The sequence below is a fragment of the Homo sapiens genome, chromosome 21 (genome assembly GCF_000001405.40).
Source record: "Homo sapiens chromosome 21, GRCh38.p14 Primary Assembly".
NCBI lineage: Eukaryota > Metazoa > Chordata > Mammalia > Primates > Hominidae > Homo > Homo sapiens.
Genome location: NC_000021.9, coordinates 28,151,061 through 28,171,820, shown reverse-complemented (window position 1 = coordinate 28,171,820; position 20,760 = coordinate 28,151,061). Strand labels below are relative to the sequence as shown.

At 38.4% G+C, this 20,760-nt stretch overlaps 1 long non-coding RNA gene across 1 annotated transcript in view; it reads left to right on the top strand.

The window, feature by feature from the left end:
* The window catches only part of LINC01695 (long intergenic non-protein coding RNA 1695), a 112,574-nt gene that overhangs the window by 56,847 nt on the left and 34,967 nt on the right, over positions 1-20,760 (top strand). The window contains exons 4-5 of the long non-coding RNA NR_126012.1: positions 1,678-1,743; positions 8,104-8,219. This is a non-coding gene — a long non-coding RNA (long intergenic non-protein coding RNA 1695). The remainder of the gene's footprint in view (positions 1-1,677; positions 1,744-8,103; positions 8,220-20,760) is intronic.

Sequence of the window (20,760 nt, the reverse complement as noted above, 5' to 3'; positions counted from 1 at the left end):
TTTATTTCACAAGATACTTGGAAAGAAATACTGTATTATAATTATGCAAATTTTAATATTTAATATTTAACATGCACTACTTTTCCACTTTTAAAATTATACATTCATATAATGTTCACATTTTCAAATAGGAGAAGGCTCTCTCAACTGAATAGTACAATGTAACACGTGATTTAGGAAACTCATTTACTCTTTAAGTTATGAAAGTCATTCGTAGCTTCCAATTATACCTCTCGGATCATTAATGGATAATAACATACAAACACATATTGTTTACTTTCCAACCACTTGAACCAGTTCATTTTTTCATTAGTACCATGCCAGTCTGTTCATATCTGCCAATTCTCCCTCTCTGGAAAATATCTGTGTTAAGCCAACTTCAACTCACAAAACTTTAACATGAAATTGCAGAACTTGGCTGTCTTAAAACACATCAGTACTTTCTTGTGCCTTTGGTACACTTTCTGCTTTTGATATTTTTCTTGAAGGCAGAAAATAGCTATTAGTAATTAAACTTTAAAAATATATTAAAAAGTTGTAGTATTGCACTTGCAACTTTTAGAAAATAATCATATTTTACAACCAAATTATGGACACCTAGACTTTAAATAAATTTAAAATTTCACCTTATTCTTCATAAGTGACACATACATTGGACAGTCAAGAGGTCTGAAAATTTCAGACCATATTTAGATGGCTGAAATCAGAGTAGCTGCTATCATCACCAACACATGGAAGCTCAAGGAAGGTTTTTATTTGATGACAACAATGCAACAAATTGTAACATCCTGTCCAGCTGAGATTCTTTTGTAGCAGGGTTATGAGTTTAACAATGTAATGAAGGTAATCTAATATTGACACATTCAATAGCGTTTTTCCTTAAGAAGTTTACCGATACTAATACAATAGTACATTAGTTAATCTTCAGTTTCTTCTAAGGAATCAAAGTTGAATTGAATTGCCTACTTAAATTATGGGGCACTGCTTTTATTTAAAATAAAATTTGCTCTGGAGAGGGAATAACTCACCTGTTCTAGTTTTGCTCTTTCTCATGGAGATTGGTGCTCAGGAATAATATGATTCTTTTCATTTAATTCATGAAATATCCTTGTAAAAATAATCACACTTGTCCCTCAAGCCCGTTAAAGGCTGCTGGGCTGCTGATTTTTGCTTATTAAAACTAAAACTCAGCACTCAGCATGCTGATTTTTTTTTTTTTTTCTGGGAGGAGGGTGGTGAGATAAAGTTTGCATAAGCATAAAGTCCTACTATGTTAAACTGCTGTTTGCTAAAACATTCTGACCCAGAAGCATAAAATTATACCTCCTTTACCCCTAGAAAAAGGGAACTTTTCTGAACAGTCTGTGGTCCAAGCCTATGCTTTTAGAAACGCTGTATTAATGATTTTGTTGAAAAATGTGCTTATAATGCAAATGTGCTTATGCAGTTTTCATCCTTCTGTTCGGTGTATTAGTGATAGAACCACAAAGTATTAATCGGAACACTGGTTCACTCAGCTTAAGACTCTATCAGCCTTCCTTGCATGTAAGTTTGATCAAATGACTAAGTTCTGGCTGCTGATTTATAAACAAAAAATGATCTCTGCAACTGAAGTGTCATGTCTTTAAAAGATAGCTTCTTATTACATCTTTTTTTTCCCTCCTTCTTGCTGGTTAGAGGCCATCTTTGAAGAAGTAAACAAGTACCATACACTAAAGGGATGACAGAACAACGAAACAAAAGGTATTCTGATCCTGGATGATACCTAGGTCTTTTAGATCTACGTAAGATTAGTCTACATTTTAAGGTACACAGTATCAACCTTTGTAATTGTGAAACATTTGAAACACAAAGAAACGCACATATAAAACATAATAAGCACGCATGTCTGAATCACCCAGAATTAGTAAAAGTTAACTTACTACTAAATAACATAAACCGCTATAAGTAATTTTTCTTTATCTTTCTTTTCTAAAGAGTAAGTGTTGTTTAGTATTTGCTGTGTATTTTTCCTACCGTGTTTTTGTACAGGTATTCCAAATGCATGTATCCAACAAAAACATAGTATTTTTATTCCGTTCAAAATATTTATATAGAGCATGTTATACTTTAGATCTTACAACTCTCCTTTTTTTCACCCACTCGTGCATTTAATTAATTAATTAATTAATTAATTTTGTGAGACAGAGTTTCACTCTTGTCACCCAGGCTGGAGTACAATGGTGCAATCTCGGCTCACTGCAACCTCCACCTCCCAGGTTCAAGCGATTCTCCTGACTCAGCCTCCTGAGTTGCTGGGATTACAGGAACCTGCCACCATGCCCAGCTAAATTTTTTTTGTATTTTTAGTAGAGACGGGCTTTCACCATGTTGGCCAGGCTGGTCTCGAACTCCTGACCTCGGGTGATCCACCCGCCTCAGCCTCCCAAAGGGATGGGATTACAGACATAAGCCATCATGCCCAGCCTAATTCATTTATTTTTATCATGTTTATAGAGGTATTTTGAATCTCTTTGTCATACTTTGTTTACTTACCTTGATTTCCATTGCTTTTCATTAATACAAACTATTTTCTGTTCATCTAGTAAAATAATTTGGTTGATTCTACTACGTAACTTTACTTATTTGTGTTACACTTTCTATATCCATACTTTTAAAGATGAATTTTAAAATACATACATTATTAATAAACTATAAGGTAAATTTAAACATATCTATTTTACTCTTGAATGATGTGACAAAATGAGTATAGATTTTTTAGACCCACCCAGCTTATTTATATCATTTTGATGATTAATACTTATATAGGCTTATCAAAAATCTTCCTTGATTTTTTTTCACCATTAATTCTTGTAGACTACATCTTTGTGGGTTTAATTTACTTTTCGCCCAAGAACACGCTTTTGTACTTCCTTCAGTGACCCAATAGTAATCAAAGTCCAGCCACAGGAGAGGAAGTAATATGTTCACTTTACAATTCTTCCCCTGAAACACACACACACACACACATACACACCCACACACACACCAATTAAAAAGTAAGATATTACCTGTAAGTTAATGACCTTTATCAATGTTTAAAGGGGCCCTTGAAACTAAACCCCTCCAAGAAAATATAAATGAGTGGATGTTTTTGATAAAAATTTTGCTAAATAATCATAAATCTCATAGAGAGGGTTAATTTCAGAACATTGAAACCATATAAAGCAAATTTATAACATTAGATAGAAAGTAACAAAGTACGTTTACAATAACAGAAATATATCTCTTACAAGAGCTCATAAAGAATGCAGAAAGAAATCTACAACAAATTGAATGAAAAGAGCAATTTTTCTGTTTCTCATTTTTCTAAAACATTAAGCATTTTCATAAAACATATAATTAAACAGCAGTACCTACTTATATTTTCACGCTGCATTTTTATTTTATTATTCTTTTATTTGATTATACCTTTTATTTTAATGTAAATTATTATCCTATAAGTGGTTCTCCATTCTAGCTATGTCTGAAATGCAGAAATATGTATCATTGTTGCGATGTCAAATTGATTTTATAATTGTTTTGCTTAATTCTTTGTAGCTTAAAGAGCTTCTTGTTAGTCTACTACTCTGCATTCAGTTGAATTGAAATTAACACAGTTCTGTAGTTAAAATTATTCAAACAATTATATCTGTTTGTTGTTAATTATATGGATACAAAGAGGTCCATATGTCATTTTTAGCTTTAAGGTTCCAATCAAGAAAGAGCAAGATGTATGACTACTTAAGATGAAGGACATACTATTGTTAATGAATAAACATGAAAGGATAACTTGTTTTCCAAGTATTGATATCTACATTTTATAAAGCCAACCCAGGTAGATGGGTATTGTTACATATGTCTAATTATATTATCAAAGCTGCTGAGTTCACTCATTTAAAAAATTATGAACACTCAGAGTGTTCCTGCTATGACTAATTTCTACTTTGTTTAAATAGAATAAAACTTAGGTAAGTGAGAAACATGAGAATTATCCTCATTACTTTCTATCTCTTACCACTCAAATCTAAATGATCCCTAAGTTAGGTCTGCTTTAGAATGTGTCAAACATATATATGACTTGCACAGGAAGTAGAATATTATCTTCTTTCAATTCATCATAAAACATATGAAAGTATTCCTCCACAATCCTTGCATCTCTAAGGTACCCTCTATCCCATCCTACATCTATTCTTAACAATTTTTAAAATGCAAACTTAATTAGTTCCCTTTCTTGCCCTCAAGACATAATAATTTCTCTCAAGAAGATCCTTTATCACACTAGATTTTAATTACCTGTCTGTCTACTCCATTATATTTGCAGTTAAAGTGTCTACTTTCTTGCTGGTCCTTTATACCTTTGGAGTCAGCACACTGGCTTCCATATCTTAGATCTCAATAAACAGTTTTGAATTACTGAGTGTACTGATTGCCTTGAAATTGCAGATGGCTTTAGTAAACCACTTTGTGTTTGTGTGTGTAGATTACAGCAAAGCTTTCTGCTTTCCTTTCTTGCTCTGATACCCTCAAAATTATACTCTGTTCCTGGGATTCCAGAGTCTTCTGCCACAACCAAGGTATGATAAAGCCTCCTGGCACTTGGTCATTTTACAGAGTTTTATAGCAATGCAAATCTGTTGGGTTTCAGTAAAATTTCCTACTTTTCATTGGATTAACCCAAGTCTGAGTTTAGAGATAGATTCAAGCAATAGACTCTGTATTGTATCTAGAATTTCTCTTCCTTTCGAATATCAATGCCTTCCCGTCAAGGTGCACTTGTTGTAAGTAGGCTCTTACCAGTTAGGATGTGGATTTTCCTGGAGGCACTTTACTTCCTAAAAAGAAAAGGAAATATCTGACAACCAATAATGGTACATTTCACTCGCATCTGTGTGAAGAGACCACCAAACAGGTTTTGTGTGAGCAACAAGGCTGTTTATTTCACCTGGGTGCAGGCGGGCTGAGTCTGAAAAGAGAGTCAGCAAAGGGAGATAGGGGTGGGATAGGTTGAGATAGCCGTTTTATAGGATTTGGGTAGGTAAAGGAAAATTACAGTCAAAGTGGGGGGTTGTTCTCTGGCTGGCAGGAGTGGGGGTCACAAGGTGCTCAGTAGGGGAGCTTTTGAGCCAGGATGAGCCGGGAGAAGGAATTTCACAAGATAATGTCATCAGTTAAGGCAGGAACAGGCCATTTTCACTTCTTTTGCGGTGGAATGTCATCAGTTAAGGCAGAAACTGGCCATCTGGATGTGTATGTGCAGGTCACAGGGGATATGATGGCTTAGCTTGGGCTCAGAGGCCTGACATTCCTGTCTTCTTATATTAATAAGAAAAATAAAACGAAATAGTGGTAAAGTGTTGGGACGGCAAAAAATTTTTGGGGGTGGTATGGAGAGATAATGGGCGATGTTTCTCAGGGCTGCTTCGAGCAGGATTAGGGGCGGCGTGGGAACCTAGAGTGGGAGAGATTAAGCTGAAGGAAGATTTTGTGGTAAGGGGTGATATTGTGGGGTTGTTAGAAGAAACATTTGTCATGTAGAATTATTGGTGATGGCCTGGATATGGTTTTGTATGAATTGAAAAACTAAATGGAATAAGAGAAGGAGAAAAGCAGGTATTAAAGGACTAAGAATTGGGAGGACCTAGGACATCTAATTAGAGAGTGCCTAAGGAGGTTCAGCATAGCCTTGCCAGCAAAGATTATTTATTTACTTTAAGAGTTAAGAGTGGCGGTTTGGGGATAGCACGAGGAGATCAGCTGTGATGGCTTAGAGAAACGGTGTAAACCGGCAGTGTAAACAAGAGCAGGGCATTTATGAGTAGTTGAGAATGGTGAATAGGAGTATGACTAGACAGAAGATAGTAGGGATGACAAGTTTTTTGGGGCGCAGTCTAGGTTGATCTGGTGTCTGGGATGAGACTGGGGCCTAATAAAAAGCGTCTATACATGAGCTGAAATGGGCTGTACCTTGTAGCATTCCGAGGACAGGCCTGAATTCTGAGAAGGGAGAGTGGTAAAAGTATTGTCCAGTCCTTTTTAAGTTGGTGGCTGAGCTTGGTGAGGTGCGTTTTTAAAAGACCTTTAGTCCGTTCTGCTTTTCCTTAAGACTGAGGAGTGTAAGGGATATAAAGGTTTTACTGAATACCAAGAGCCTGAAAAACTGCTTGGCTGATTTGACTAATAAAGGCCGGTCTGATATCGGACTATATAGAGGTGGGAAGGCCAAACCGAGGAATTATGTCTGACAGAAGGGAAGAAATGACTGCGGTGACCTTCTCAGATCCTGTGGGAAAGGCCTCTACCTATCCAGTGAAAGTGTCTACCTAGACTAAGAGGTATTTTAGTTTCCTGACTCGGGGCATGTTGAGTAAAGCTAATTTGCCAGTCCTGGGTGGGGCAAATCCTCGAGCTTGTTGTGTAGGGAAGGGAGGGGGCCTGAATAATCCCTGAGGGGTAGTAGAATAGCAGCTGGAACACTGAGAAGTGATTTCCTTGAGGATAGATTTCCACAATGGAAAGGAAATGAGAGGTTCTAAGAGGCGGGCTAGTGGCTTGCACTATAGCATAGCCTGCCTTTGCTGGTGTGTGGCGATTAGGCCTGGTGGAACTGCCATCAATAAACCAAGTGTGATCAGGGTGAGGAACAGGAAAGAAGGAAATATGGGGAAATGGGGTGAATGTCAGGTGGATCAGAGAGATACAGTCATGGGGGTCAGGTGTGGTATCCGGAATACTGTGGGAGGCCGAATTGAAGTCCGGGCCAGGAACAATGGTAATTGTGGGAGACTCAACAAACAGTGAGTACAGCTGAAGGAGCTGGGGAGCAGAAAGTATATGCATCAGGTGTGAGGAAGTAAATAGATTTTGGAAGTTATGAGAACTGTAGAGAGTGAGTTGAGCATAGTTTGTGATTTTTAGGGCCTCTAAAATTATTAAAGCAGCGGCAGCCACTGCACGCAGACCTGAGGGCTAGGCTAAAACAGTAAGGTCAAGTTGTTTGGACAGAAAGGCTACAGGGCGCGGTCCCGGCTCTTGTGTAAGAATTCTGACCGCACTAACCATGCCTAGGAAGGAAAGGAGTTGTTTTGTGGAAGGGATTGAGGTTTGGGAGATTAGTCAGACATGATCAGCAGTGAGAGCACGTGTGTTTTTATGAGAATTACGCCAAGATAGGTAACAGATGAGGAAGAAATTTGGGCTTGACTGAAGTAATGGCGGCTGTCTGTGAAGCCTTGAGGCAGTACAGCCCAGGTAATTTGCTGAGCCTGATGGGTGTCAGGGTCAGTCCAAGTGAAAGCAAAGAGAGGCTGGGATGAAGGGTGCAAAGGAATAGTAAAGAAAGCATGTTTGAGATCCAGAACAGAATAATGGGTTGTGGAGGGAGGTATTGAGGATAGGAGAGTACATGGGTTTGGCACCATGTGGTGGATAGGCAAAACAATTTGGTTGATAAGGCACAGATCCTGAACTAACCTGTAAGACTTGTCCAGTTTTTGGACAGGTAAAATGGGGGAATTGTAAGGAGAGTTTATAGGCTTTAAAAGGCCATGCTGTAGCAGGTGAGTGATAACAGGCTTTAATCCTTTTAAAGCGTGCTGTGGGATGGGATATTGGTATTGAGTGGAGGGGTAAAGGGTGATTAGGTTTTAATGAGATGGTAAGGGGTGCATGATCAGTCACCAAGGAGGGAGTAGAGGTATCTTATACTTGTGGGTTAAGGTGGGATGCAAGAGGAGGATGCAAAGGAGGCTTTGGATTGGGAAGAAGGGCGGCAGTGAGATGTGGCTATAGTCTAGGAATAGTCAGGGAAGCAGATAAGTGTCTCCACCTAATAAGGGAACTGGGCAGGTGGAGATAACTAAAAGGAGTGCTTAAAAGAGTATTGTCTAAGTTGGCACCAGAGTTGGGGAGTTTTAAGAGGTTTAGAAACCTGGCTGTCAATACCTGCAACAGTTATGGAGGCAAGGGAAACAGGCCCTTGAAAAGAAGGTAATGTGGAGTGGGTAGCCTCCGTATTGATTAAGAAGGGGACGGACTTACCTTCCACTGTGAGAGTTACCTAGAGCGTCTGTGATGGTCTTGTAGGCTTCCGAGGCGATCCGGCAACATCAGTCTTCAGCCGCTAAGCCAAGAAGATCTGGGAAGGAGTCAATCAGAGAGCCTTGGGCCAGAGTTCCAGGGGCTGTGGAAGTGGCTGCCAGGTGAGTTGAACAGTCCGATTTTCAGTGGGGTCCTACACAGATGGGACACAGCTTAGGAGGAATCCTGGGCTGTGGGCATTCCTTGGCCTAGTGGCCAGATTTCTGGCACTTGTAGCAAGCTCCTGGGGGAGGAGGTTCTGGAGGAACCCCTGGCAGCTGCGGTTTGGGCGTTTGGAGTTCTTGTGTGCTGGAGATGTGGCTGGGGTTTGTCTCACAGTGGAGGCAAGAAATTGCAACTCAGAAATACATTGCTACTTGGCTGCCTCTACTCTATTATTGTATAACTTGAAGGTGAGGTTAATTAAGTCCTGTTGTGAGGTTTGAGGGCCGGAATTTAATTTTTGGAGTTTTATTTAATGTCAGGAGCGGATTGGGTAATAAAATGTATATTGAGAATAAGACGGCCTTTTGACATTTTAGGGTCTTGGGCTGTAAAGCGTCTCAGGGTTGCTGCCGAACGAGCCATGAACTGGGCTGGGTTTTTCATATTTGATGAAAGAGCCTAAATGCTAACTGATTTGGGAGAGGTCGGATAAAGAAAAAGAAGCATTAACCTTGACTATGCCTTTAGCTCCAGCCTCCTTTTTAAGAGGAAATTGCTGGTCAGGTGGAGGAGGGCTAGTCGCGTCGCGGAACGAAACTATAAGCCGGACTGGGTGTGAGGAGGGGAGGTGATAAAAGGATTATAGGGTGGGGGAGCAGAGGCTGAGGAAGAATTGGGACCTGGCTTGACCTGGCTTGGCCTGGCGAGGAGCAGCCTGGGGAGGAGGAGAGAGGTCAGATGGGTCTGTAGAAAAGGAAGATTAGAAAGACTCAGCGACGCTTGGGGTTGGGACTGAGAGGACAGGCGGGAGGGAAAGAAGGAGGATTTGGGATGAGTCACATTGGGAACAGAGAGTACGGAGAGAACAATGTGTAAAAGAATGCCTGGACGTCAGGCACCTCAGACCATTTGCCCATTTTACGACAAGAATTATCGAGATCTTGTGGGATGGAAAAATCGAAAGTGCCGTTCTGTGGCTATTTTAGAGCCTTTGTCAAGTTTGTATTGGGGCCAAGCGGTGTTGCAGAATAAAATAAGATGCTTAGATTTTAGGTCAGGCGAGAGTTGAAGAGGTTTTAAGTTCTTAAGAACACAGGCTAAGAGAGAAGAAGGAGGAATGGAGGGTGGAAGGTTGCCCATAGTGAAGGAGGCAAGTTTAAAGAGAAGGGTAGAGACACGGAGAAGGGGGTGGGGAGCAGCCCTGGGCTGCAACGTGGGTGAGCAGCCAAAGCAGGCGTCCTTGCAATTGACTTGCCACCAAGGGAACATGGGCGAATGATCAAGGAAGGCACCCCTGCGGAGATCAGACACCAGTGGAACGTGGGTGAATAATCCAAGAGGCATCTCGGCGATGATTAAACACCAAGGTAAGGCTGTCTTCCCGAGTCCGTGACCGGCGCCGGAGTTTTGGGTCCACAGATAAAATGTGTCTCCTTTGTCTCTACCCGAAAATGAAAGGAACTGAAATTAACAGAAGGGAGAGATTGAAGTGTGGCGCCAAGCTTGAAAGGAGAAAGAGGTTGAGGGATAGTGAGGGAGGTTGGAGAAGAGAGTAAAAAGAGGCCGCTTACTGGATTTGAAATTGGTGAGATGTTCCTTGGGCTGGTCAGTCTGAGGACCTGAGGTTGTAGGTGGATCTTTCTCATGGAGCAAAGAGTAGGACAGGGGATTGATCTCCCAAGGGAGGTCCCCTGATCCCAGTCACGGCACCAAATTTCACTCGCGTCCGTGTGAAGAGACCACCAAACAGGATTTGTGTGAGCAACAAGGCTGTTTATTTCACCTGGATGCAGGCGGGCTGAGTCTGAAAAGAGAGTCAGTGAAGGGAGATAGGGGTGGTGCCGTTTTATAGGATTTGGGTAGGTAAAGGAAAATTAGTCAAAGGGGGTTGTTCTCTGGCTGGCAGGAGTGGGAGGTCACAAGGTGCTCAGTAGGGGAGCTTTTGAGCCAGGATGAGCCAGGAGAAGGAATTTCACAAGATAATGTCATCAGTTAAGGCAGGAACAGGCCATTTTCACTTCTTTTGTGGTGGAATGTCATCAGTTAAGGCAGGAACCGGCCATCTGGATGTGTATGTGCAGGTCACAGGGGATATGATGGCTTAGCTTGGGCTCAAGGCCTGACAGGACACATAAATATGATTTTCAGGAAGAAAGTCATCAAATTTTAAATCACCCCTGAACCATGGAAGGCAAAAACTCTGGCCTTAATGTTTTAGGAAATAAACAAATAGTTTCTTAATATGCTGCTGAATATAAAATTATTTTTATTTTCTTTTTTTTCCATTCTAATCTTTAAATTTTTCTCCTTTTGCCCAAAAAGTTAACAAAGACAAATTATAAATCTTTGCATATACAAAAGGCTATCAAAATGATGGAAAAAAGGATCTCATCATTTAAGTTTTCATGATTTATGAAATATTTCAAAGATTTGCAAATAACTGACATTGTTATAATCCATAAAATAGTGTAATGCTAAAACTAGAAACCACAGAGTAATACTGTCCAGGTATGAATTCTGTATGTGCTACTTATTCATTGGTGACCTTTGACAATGTATAGCATCTCTCTAGACTCCATTTTACTCATCTGTAAAATGAAGGGTATCTTTCACATAGAGTACTCATAAGAATTAAATGCATTATAGAACAATGAAGGAAACATAGTAAATTCAATATAAGTGTTAAATAAACAGGTTCAGTGGCATTCATGTACCTGCCACCTACCCTAATTTATCCTATTTTCACATATTTGCTTTAGATTTTCTGAGCATAAAACATTACAAATATTGTTTTAGTTAATGAATTGCTTCATAATATATCGCTCCCAAAATAAGTGATGTAAAACCATAACATTTATTTTCTCACAGTTTCTGAGGCTCAGGAATTTAGGAGTTGCCTAGTGGGATGCTTCTGGCTTGAAGTCTCTCACAAGTTTGCGGCCAGAGGTGCAGTCATCTGAAACTTTCACTGGGGTTGGGAAATCGAGCTTCAAGTTTGCTCACTCACATGACTTAGCTAGGAAGCCTTAGTTTCTCCCCACATGGATCTCTCAATAGGGCTGCCTGGGTGTCCTCACAAGTCAGCTGGCTTTCTCTCCAAGTGAGTGCTCTGAGAGACAAGATGAAAACTACAAATATCTTGTATGGCTTATCTTTCTGTGTCACATCTATCATTTCAACAATGTTTTATTCCTAAGGAGTCAGTAAGGACAATCAGATTCAAGGGGAGAAAATTAACTCTGTCATTTGATGAGAAAGCATCAAATAATTTGTAAACATGTTTCAAACCACTATAAATACAATTGAGCCTCCTATTCCATCCTGACCATCCATTTCCTTTACCTCCTTCTGTAGAAGTGAGTGCTATCCTGAAGTTGATATGAGTTGCATAATCTCCCAAATCAAGCTGGGTACAGGTGACATATATGCCCAAGATGCAAATTCCCTACTGTATCTGATTGTGAGTGCCTTACACAGCCAGAGCTATTGCTGCAAATTGAGACTAGCCTCTTCTATTAGCCTGGGTATGCAGTACAATATCATTAAGTGTATCATGAAATATTAAGGTTTATCATATGTGCTATGACATAAAAACCATTTTTAAAGAAATAAATAGTTCCAGTGATCCCTGAAGCCAGAAACATTGCATCTTTAGCCCTTAAGAGAGACAGAGAGAGCAGGAAGAGTGGCAGCTTGGAGACTGTAGGTGGGAGGAAAAGGAATTGCCAGTTCAGTAAACTTTGTCAATGCATTATTCTCCCACTTCAGACTTCCGAGGGCCACATTAAATTTCATGGCATTTAAAAATACGTTTTTTAAAACAAAAAAAGTTCTATCCTAGAACTTTATTGTTGTGGTGTTACAACTTAAAGAACCAGAGAACCAGATCATCTTAAGGTAAACAACATTCTTTTGAGAAAGACACATGATGATGGGAACAAGGAACTAATTAATCTTGAGATTTAAATCAAGGAAAGAGCAATGGGTATGGTTTCTGTCACAAGGAACTGACAGGAAGTACATAGATAAGAAGGCTACTACATTTTTGACGGAAGTATATTGTGATTTTGTTGATGATTCCTGGTTGATAACTCCCATAGCCCCTTTTATACCCTTCTATTATAATGCTGGGGCACTTTAGGCCTCAGGAGCAGACCTCATGGAACAGAAACTCTCTTTCTCTCTCTGAAATTCTCCTGTCCTTCTTCCACAGGCAAGACTCTAATCTGATTGTAGTTCAAAATATTCTCATTCCATCAGGGCATGGTGGCTCACACCTGTAATCCCAGCATTTTGGGAGGCCAAGGCGGGCGGATCACTTGAGGTCAAGAGATCGAGACCATCCTGGCTAACATGGTGAAACCCCATGTCTACTAAAAAATACGAAAATTACCTGGGTGTGGTGGTGTGTGTGTGCCTGTAGTCTCGGCTACTCGGGAGGCTGAGGCAAGAGAATCGCTTGAATCCAGGAGAATCGCTTGAATCCAGGAGGCAGAGGTTGCAGTGAGCCAAGATCGTGCCACTGCACTCCAGCCTGGCAACAAAGAAAGACTCTGTCTCAAAAAAAAGAAAAAAAAAAAGTTCTCATTCCAAAGAAGGTCCCTGCTCCTACCCTAGAAGAAAGAATGCTACACAAAGAGGCCAAGAAAAGTCTGAAGAGACAAGCCTCATTGGGTTTAGATTATGTGTTATTTGTCCAGTCACATTTCTACACGGTTGTCAATTGTGACTATGTAATGAAGCCTCCATAAAACCCCAAAAGGATGGGGTTCAGGGAGCCTCCAGATAGATGAACATGTGGAGGTTCCTAGAGGGTGGCAAGCCCAGGGAGGGCATGGAAGCTCCATACCCCTTCCCCCATACCTCACCCTATGCATCTCTTCATCTGTATCCTTTGTAATTTCCTCTATAATAAACTAGTAAAGAGAAGTATTTTCCTAAGTTCTGTAAGCCACTCTAGCGAATTAATTGAGCCCAAAGAGGGGATTTTGGAAGGCCCAACTTGAAGCCAGTTGGTTGGAATTTCTGGAGGCTTAGATTTGTGACTGGTGTCTGAAATCAAGAGAAGTTTAGGGGACTGAGTACTCAACATGTGAGATCTGACAGGTAGATAGTGTTGGAGTTAATTGGAGGATACCCACTTGGTATCCACTGAGGAGTTGCTTGGTGGGGGGAAAAGCTCCCTCCGCTCACATTTGGTCACAGAAGCCTTCTTTTTTGATGTTTGCTGTGGGTGAGAGGAGATGAAAAACATAGTTTGAGAGTTGTTTCTAAACAATTGTCAAGGAGATCTGGCTGTTTCACATCTAAAGCAAGACTTGGGTTTCCATTATCATGAGATGGTCACCTTCTAAGGAATTCCCATTTCAGATGTGGACAGGCAGATTCACGGACAAGGAGTACCTTATCAGAACCTAGGGTTTACATGGACATGTGTAAGGGAGATTTTTCCCCAGAAAAAGAGACAAAGGTCCAATCAAGAATCTCTCAGAACCCTAAAGTAAAGTGTTTTCAAAATAGCTACTCAGTGAGATTTCAGAATATCACCAACCAGTGACTGCTGTATGCCTTCTGACTTTCTCCTTTGGATTGGGCATGTTTATTGTGGGTATTCTCCCCCCATGTCAGGTATGTGGTGGCAGACAACTTGCCATTTTAGTTGATAGGTCATTGGACCAACAGGGGCCATATCCAGATGCATGAGAAACTACTATACATTCTTGATGACCCTGGTCTTCAGCCATATGCAATGATGAGATAGGACAGAATAGAACCGATTCCTTTGTGGAGATGGAAAGTATGTTCAAAACATGGAAGGAATGTAATAGTTTGGCAACCAGAATAGTGGACTGTTGAAGAGACAATGTCTTTGATTCAGCATAGCATATACCTGGGTCTGGCCAATAGGAGGTGGAGGGAAGTGATATAAGTGAATTTCAGGCCTAGATTCGAACATATCTCACATGACCCTCCAATTTGACAATGGACATGAACCTCCTGTGTTTTAGGTGGCAGAGCTACAAGATCACTAGAACTTTGGTAGGTATTGTGCATAATGTTTGTTACATAGAGACACATGTATATACTTATACATACATATACTTAGATTTGTAATAGGAACACTTCCCTATTAATTTTATATGTTCCTTATAGCCAATACTGTGTGGATGTTGAGAAAGTAGGAAATATTTCTGAAGACCATATTACTAAAACAGTCATCACTGGGAACTTTTGGGAAGGGTGAGCCTGTTGAGTTTCTTCTCTGTAAAATGTGGATTAAAAAGACATAATTTTCCTGCTATTTGGAGGATTAGCAATCATACATGCAAAACACCAAGCAGAAAGCCTGGTATGTGCAGTGTTGATAATTGCTAAGTATTAGTGGTAATGCTCTTGTATTTTCAGAATTGAGAGAAATTATGAAGAATATATTATTTTTCAAATGGTGCAAACACTGTCTCATCAAATGAGATATTAGGTTCAATTACTATTCTGGCTCTCATAGAATGCATCATTTGACAATTGTATTTCTTGAATTTTCACATCTAAATGTTAGAAAATAGTTGCATAGAGCTTACAGGACATATGTTCAACAATTTTGAACACAAAGTGAGATTTCATCTTATATTTGTACTACTTGGGGGTCCGACTCAGTTGGATCCAGCTGTGGGGCGCAGATGTGTTAAAGGATGGAGCAAAAGGAGAGGAGTAAAGATGCAGATTGCAGACCTGCTGTGGTTTGTTTGAACAATTATTCAGAACTCTGGCACAGTTCATCCTTGAACAACGCATTAGTTATGGGCGCCAACCGCCAACATAGTAAAAAACACCACATATAACTTTTAACTCCTCAAAAACTGAATTACTAATAGCTTACTGTTGACTGGAAGCCTTATTGATAACATAAACAGTCGATGAACACTGATTTTTATGCTATATATGTGATATACTGCATTCTTACAACAAATAAGCCAGACAAAAAAAGTTAATTAAATCATAAGGAAGAGAAAATATTTTTACTATTCATTAAGTGAATAAAAGTCTTAATTCTCATTGTCTTCAGGTAGAGTAGGCTGAGGAGGAGGAGGAAGAAAGGGGGTTGGCTTTACTGTCTTGGGGTTGGCAGAAGGAAAGAAAGTCTGCGTATAAGTGAATCTGCACAGTTCAAATCCCTGTAGTATGAGAGTCAACTGCACTTGCTCTCTATTGTATGAATAGAAATTCTTCATATTCCACATCTGAAAATATAAAACCAATTTATATGCAAGGTTGTACAACATGCATTGTTTAGGAGAATTGCCTTTGGGGCTGGATCATTTGGCTGTTTCCTTTTATTGTACATTTTTCTCATTTTTTTCCCCGTCTGGTTTAGATTGTTCTGTCTTCCTTTGATTGCTTCTTTTTCTACTGTTATTCCTATTACTTTAACTATTTAGCAGTTTTATAAAGAATATAAGAAAACTGTAAACATTGATTAGTCTTCTAACAATATGTTACTTACATGTACAAAAAGAATAAGCAAATAAAAATATTTTTTTCAACTTTCTATAGTTAAAAATAAATTATTTAATGATACTTTTGAAAATAACTGATATCAAACCCTTATAAAACATTGTCATCAGCTAATTGTAAATGGATGAGAAACATATGAATTAAGTTTCCATCAAAAACACACACATTTAAAAATTTAAGCACACTTTATTTGGCAAACGTCTTTTTGTATTTTTCCAACTTCAAAATATTTGAAAATAATTTGAGTGATTTTCTGAACATAAAAAGTCATAAGATATTTATTTTTGTGAAAATTCAAGGAAAAATGCTGAAAAAAGTCATGATGTGATTTCTACAGGAACAATTATCAAGCAAGTAATGCTGTCATCCTGATAACTTCTTGGATTGTTTCAAATGTAATTACCTGAAGGAAATGAACAGCCTGTTTTGAAAACCAAGGGCAGGTTGGAAAACAGGAAACTATTATGAACCAAAGTTATGAAATTATGCTGCTTACTTTCAAATATGAAAGAACAGAATCTTCCAACTTATTTAAAAATACATTTCATATTGCTAATAGCATTTATTAAACTTAATATAAGAAAATAAAATGTACTGTATCATTGGCTTCAAATAATTGTTAACCAATTTGACTTTGCCTCTTGTGATATTAAACAAAATTCCACTGGAACTAGTGGTGACCATATCAGTCAGGACCCTCGTTAAGGGATAGAAATCTTCCTTCACCAGTCTTAGACACAAATGTTCAATACACTTTTAAAAATAAAAAGAATATATGGGATCACACAATTAAGAACTCCTGGTCCTGGGCTGATTTTTGTTATGGCAGCATCCAGAGTCTCACTTTCTGACTAATTTTTCCTCATTTATTGGCTCTTTCTTAAGACAGTATTTCACAAAACAGCATGAGAAGCTCCTGGCTCCTACGTTCCCAAAATAATAACATCAGGGAAAAACAAACACCTCCTTTTGTACAGTTCTAGCAAAGAGCCTAACATGATCGTGGCCATGCTGTGTGATGTGTTCATCTGTTCTATTTGCCTCAGTCATCAGGAGATCGTGGACACACAGGGAGCAGGGGCGGTGCCAGCCAACCAGATGTCCTGGGGGGTGAGGGTCATTAATTTCTCAATAATTAGGACTAGTATTTCCAAAAGAAATAAAGGATACTGGACAGGTAATAATCTCAGTGATTATTTAATATTGTTCTAATACTCTCTACTTACAAAGTCTATAAAATTATTTATACTATCTATTATTCTGATGCAGTGTGTTATAGCAGTTACTTTTCTAAACTGTGACAAAAAGGAAAGATTTCATTTTCCCTGTCTGGTTAATTGTATTTTCTTTCAAAACAACCTGATGTATTTGAATTGAAAAGAGCTAGAAAGAGTTTACCCTTCATGGGTGGAACTTTTTTCTTAGTTCCTATTTCTTTTTCTTTGAGATTTCCTTTGTGGTTCTCTTCCCTCTTCTCTTCCCTTCAATTCATCGATGAGGCTGGTACCGGAAGCCTGGCCCTGAGTATTCATTCAGGTAAGTAGGGCTTCCGCCTCGAAAGGCTCCAGGTTGAGATAGACAGACAGGACTCTCAGAGAAGGGAGATGTGGATAGAGTGACTGAGGCTACTGCTTGGGCTTAAGAAGAAATTTCTTCTTGGATATTTGGTGGTTTATTTGTTTTCCTGTACTACTCACATCATCAGAGTGGTAAGATTAAAAGCCAAAGTCAACAAAATCGGAGAAAGTCCAGGGAAAAGCAGCTTAGGGAGTAAGGTATTCAGCCTCCAGAATATGTGAAAGGCATTGTGGAATCTTGTGCTATTAAGATTACAAAAACAGATTGCAAGCCATGGTGTCTTAGTCCATTAGAGCTGCTATAACAAAATACGATAAACTGGGTGGCTTATAAACAAGAGAAATTTATTTCTGTCAGTTTTGGTGGCTGAGAAGTCCAAGATCAAGGTACCGGCAAATTCAGTGTCTGGTGAGGGCTCATTTCTCTCATAGAAGCCTTCCAGCTGTGTCCAAGGAGCTCCCTGGGGTCTCTTTGTTATGAGGGTGGAACCCTCATAACATCATGACCCCCCAAAGGCCTCACTTCCTAATACTAACACTTTGGAGAAGTAGGATTTCAACATAGGAATTTTGGAGGGGCACAAGTATTGAGACAATAGCACCTGGCTACTGATGAAGTGTCCTGTGTGTTTATCTCCTTTTACCACTTCTGTGATCAGAAGAAGACTGGGGGAGGATTCTGACCTCATATTCGAGATTATCATATCCTCTTCGATGATGGAAATACTAGTCATATAAGTTGCCCTTTATGTAGTTTTACAAAATATCCCTTTGGAAAGAACTAGAACACATGAAAAGGTAGTGAGACTTGGTTTCTGTGTCACTATACTCCATGAATGTGATTATTGAAACAGTTTCCTAAAGTCTTTTCCCACTTGGAGTAGGCAGCTACTGACTCTCAAGACGTATGTGTTTTATAGGTCTTGAGTATTTGCATACACGTCAAAAATTAGGTCAAAGGGAAATGGCATGAAAAAAACAAAAGCACAGTTTAAATTTCTAATAACCAGACCAAGCTATCAAAGCTATTTTTTTATTATAATCAGGTTAAGAGATTATATGTTTTAAAAGTTTGGCATTTTTTAAAAACAAGTGATCAAAATTATGTATTAAAAATAAGAGACCACAGGTTATAAAAGGAGGATTATCCTTAAATATAAAGAGCTTTTAAAAAAGTATAAATAAATCAGGGTGTATATTAAGTATTCAATTTGCTTTGCGGCTTCTTGAACAATTTAAAAGGGAACATTTTATGAAGAAAAGGAAATTAGTGGTGATTTCTTAAAAAATAAAATTTAAAAGATATTTTCTGACATTTTTGTCATATTTTGAAAGAATTCTATTTGTATAATATTAAGTATTTTAATCCTCTTTGCTTATTTTACATTCCATTTTTAACAAACTAGGCAAACAATGTTTTTGTTAGTGGTAATTAATCTACACATCCTGTTTGTGTTTTAATTTAAACTGTTCTCATGGAGTTAAGCAATATTTCTGTAATTCCTGTTTTAGTTTATGAGTGAGTCAGAAAATATTTACTATGCCGAAATAGGTATAAGAATAACAATTGTTGTAGTCCTTAAATCATCAATCATTGTCACCTACTGTATTAGCCCATCTTCACACTGCTATAAAGTATACCTGAGACTGGGTAATTTATAAAGGAAAGAGGTTTAATTGACTCACAGTTCTGCATACCTGGGGAGGCCTCAGGAAACTTACAATCATGGTGGAAGGCAAAGGGGAAGTGAGTACCTTCTTCACGACGTGGCAGGAGAGACAGAGAGACTGAGGAAGTGCCGCACTTTAAAACCATCAGCTCTCTTGATAACTTTCTTGCTATCAGGATAATGGCATGGGGGAATCTGCCCTCATCATCCAATCACCTCTCCACTACAATTTGAGATGAGATTTGGGTGGGGACACAGAGCCAAATCATATCACCTACACTTCTTGAAAATCTTGTTAGTATAGATATATCAACACTTAAGCACTCTTTATTAGTATGACATGTATTTTTTAGTATAGTATATAGACACATAATAAGGCAAATAATTGCTATACTAATACTAGCTAGCATTTCTCTAACACTTTTTTGTATGATAGGCACTATTCTAAATGTTCTAGATGTGTGAACCTATTTAATCCTCAAGGCAACTTAATGAAATAGTTATGATTATTATCTGGATTTTGTGATGAAGAAACTGAGCACAAAAAGTTTAAGCACTGGCTAAAAGTCATGCAACTGTGTAAAATCCCATCATTTTATTTGCCATACTTTATTATTTTCTAAAGTTGTTTTGAGCATGCATTAGAAGGGTGTTTAAAATTAAAGTGTTACTTTTATAACAATTTTTGTAAGTAATATATATCAATTATATCACACAAAATATACTAAATTTGCTTTCTAACAATAATACAACTTCCTAAAATTAAGAAAAATAAGGAAATAAAAAACAAGTACTGCCATGTGTCACTTAGTGATGAGGATACATTCTGAGAAATGCCTCGTTAGGCAATTTCATCACTGTACAAACAACATAGTGTTACTTATGCAAACCTATTTGGTACAGCCTACTACACACCGAGGCTACATGGTGTATATAAGTCTATTGCTCCCAGACTACAAACCTGTACAGCATGTTACTGTACTAAATGCTATAGGCAATTATATCACAGTGGTATTTGTATACCTAAACATATGTAAACATAGAAAAGTACATTAAGTATAAAGTATAAAAGATAAAAAATGTTATACCTCTAATAGGGCACCTACCATGAACAGACTTTACTGAACTTGAAGTTACTCTGGGTAAGTCAGTGAGTGACTAGTGAGTGAATATGAAGGCGTGAGGTATTACTGTACAATACTGTAGACTTTATAAACACTATACATTTAGGCTACACTAAATTTATTAATATTTTTATTTAATAATAAATTAGATACATAACATTTTTGTTTATAATTAACTTTTTAAACTTTTAACTCCTGTAATAACAGCTTAATACATGAACACATTGATAGCTGTAGAAAAATATTTTCTTTCTTTATGTCCTTATAAGCTTTTTTCCATTTTTAATTTTACTTTTAAAACTGTTTTTGCTAAAAACTAGAAAACAAAAATACACATTAGCCTGAGACTACACAGGGTCAGGATCATCAATACTACTGTCTTCCACCTCCATATCTTGTCCCACTGGAAAGTCTTCAGAGCCAATAACGGGCATGGAGTTGTCATCTCCTTTGATAACAATGCCTTCTTCTGGAAACCTCCTGAAGTTCCTGCCTGAGGCTGTGGTACAGTTAATGTTTTTCTTTTTAATTAGTAGAAGTACACTCTAAAATAACAATAAAAACTATAGTAAATACATAAACCAGTAACATGGTCATTTATTATCAAGTATTATA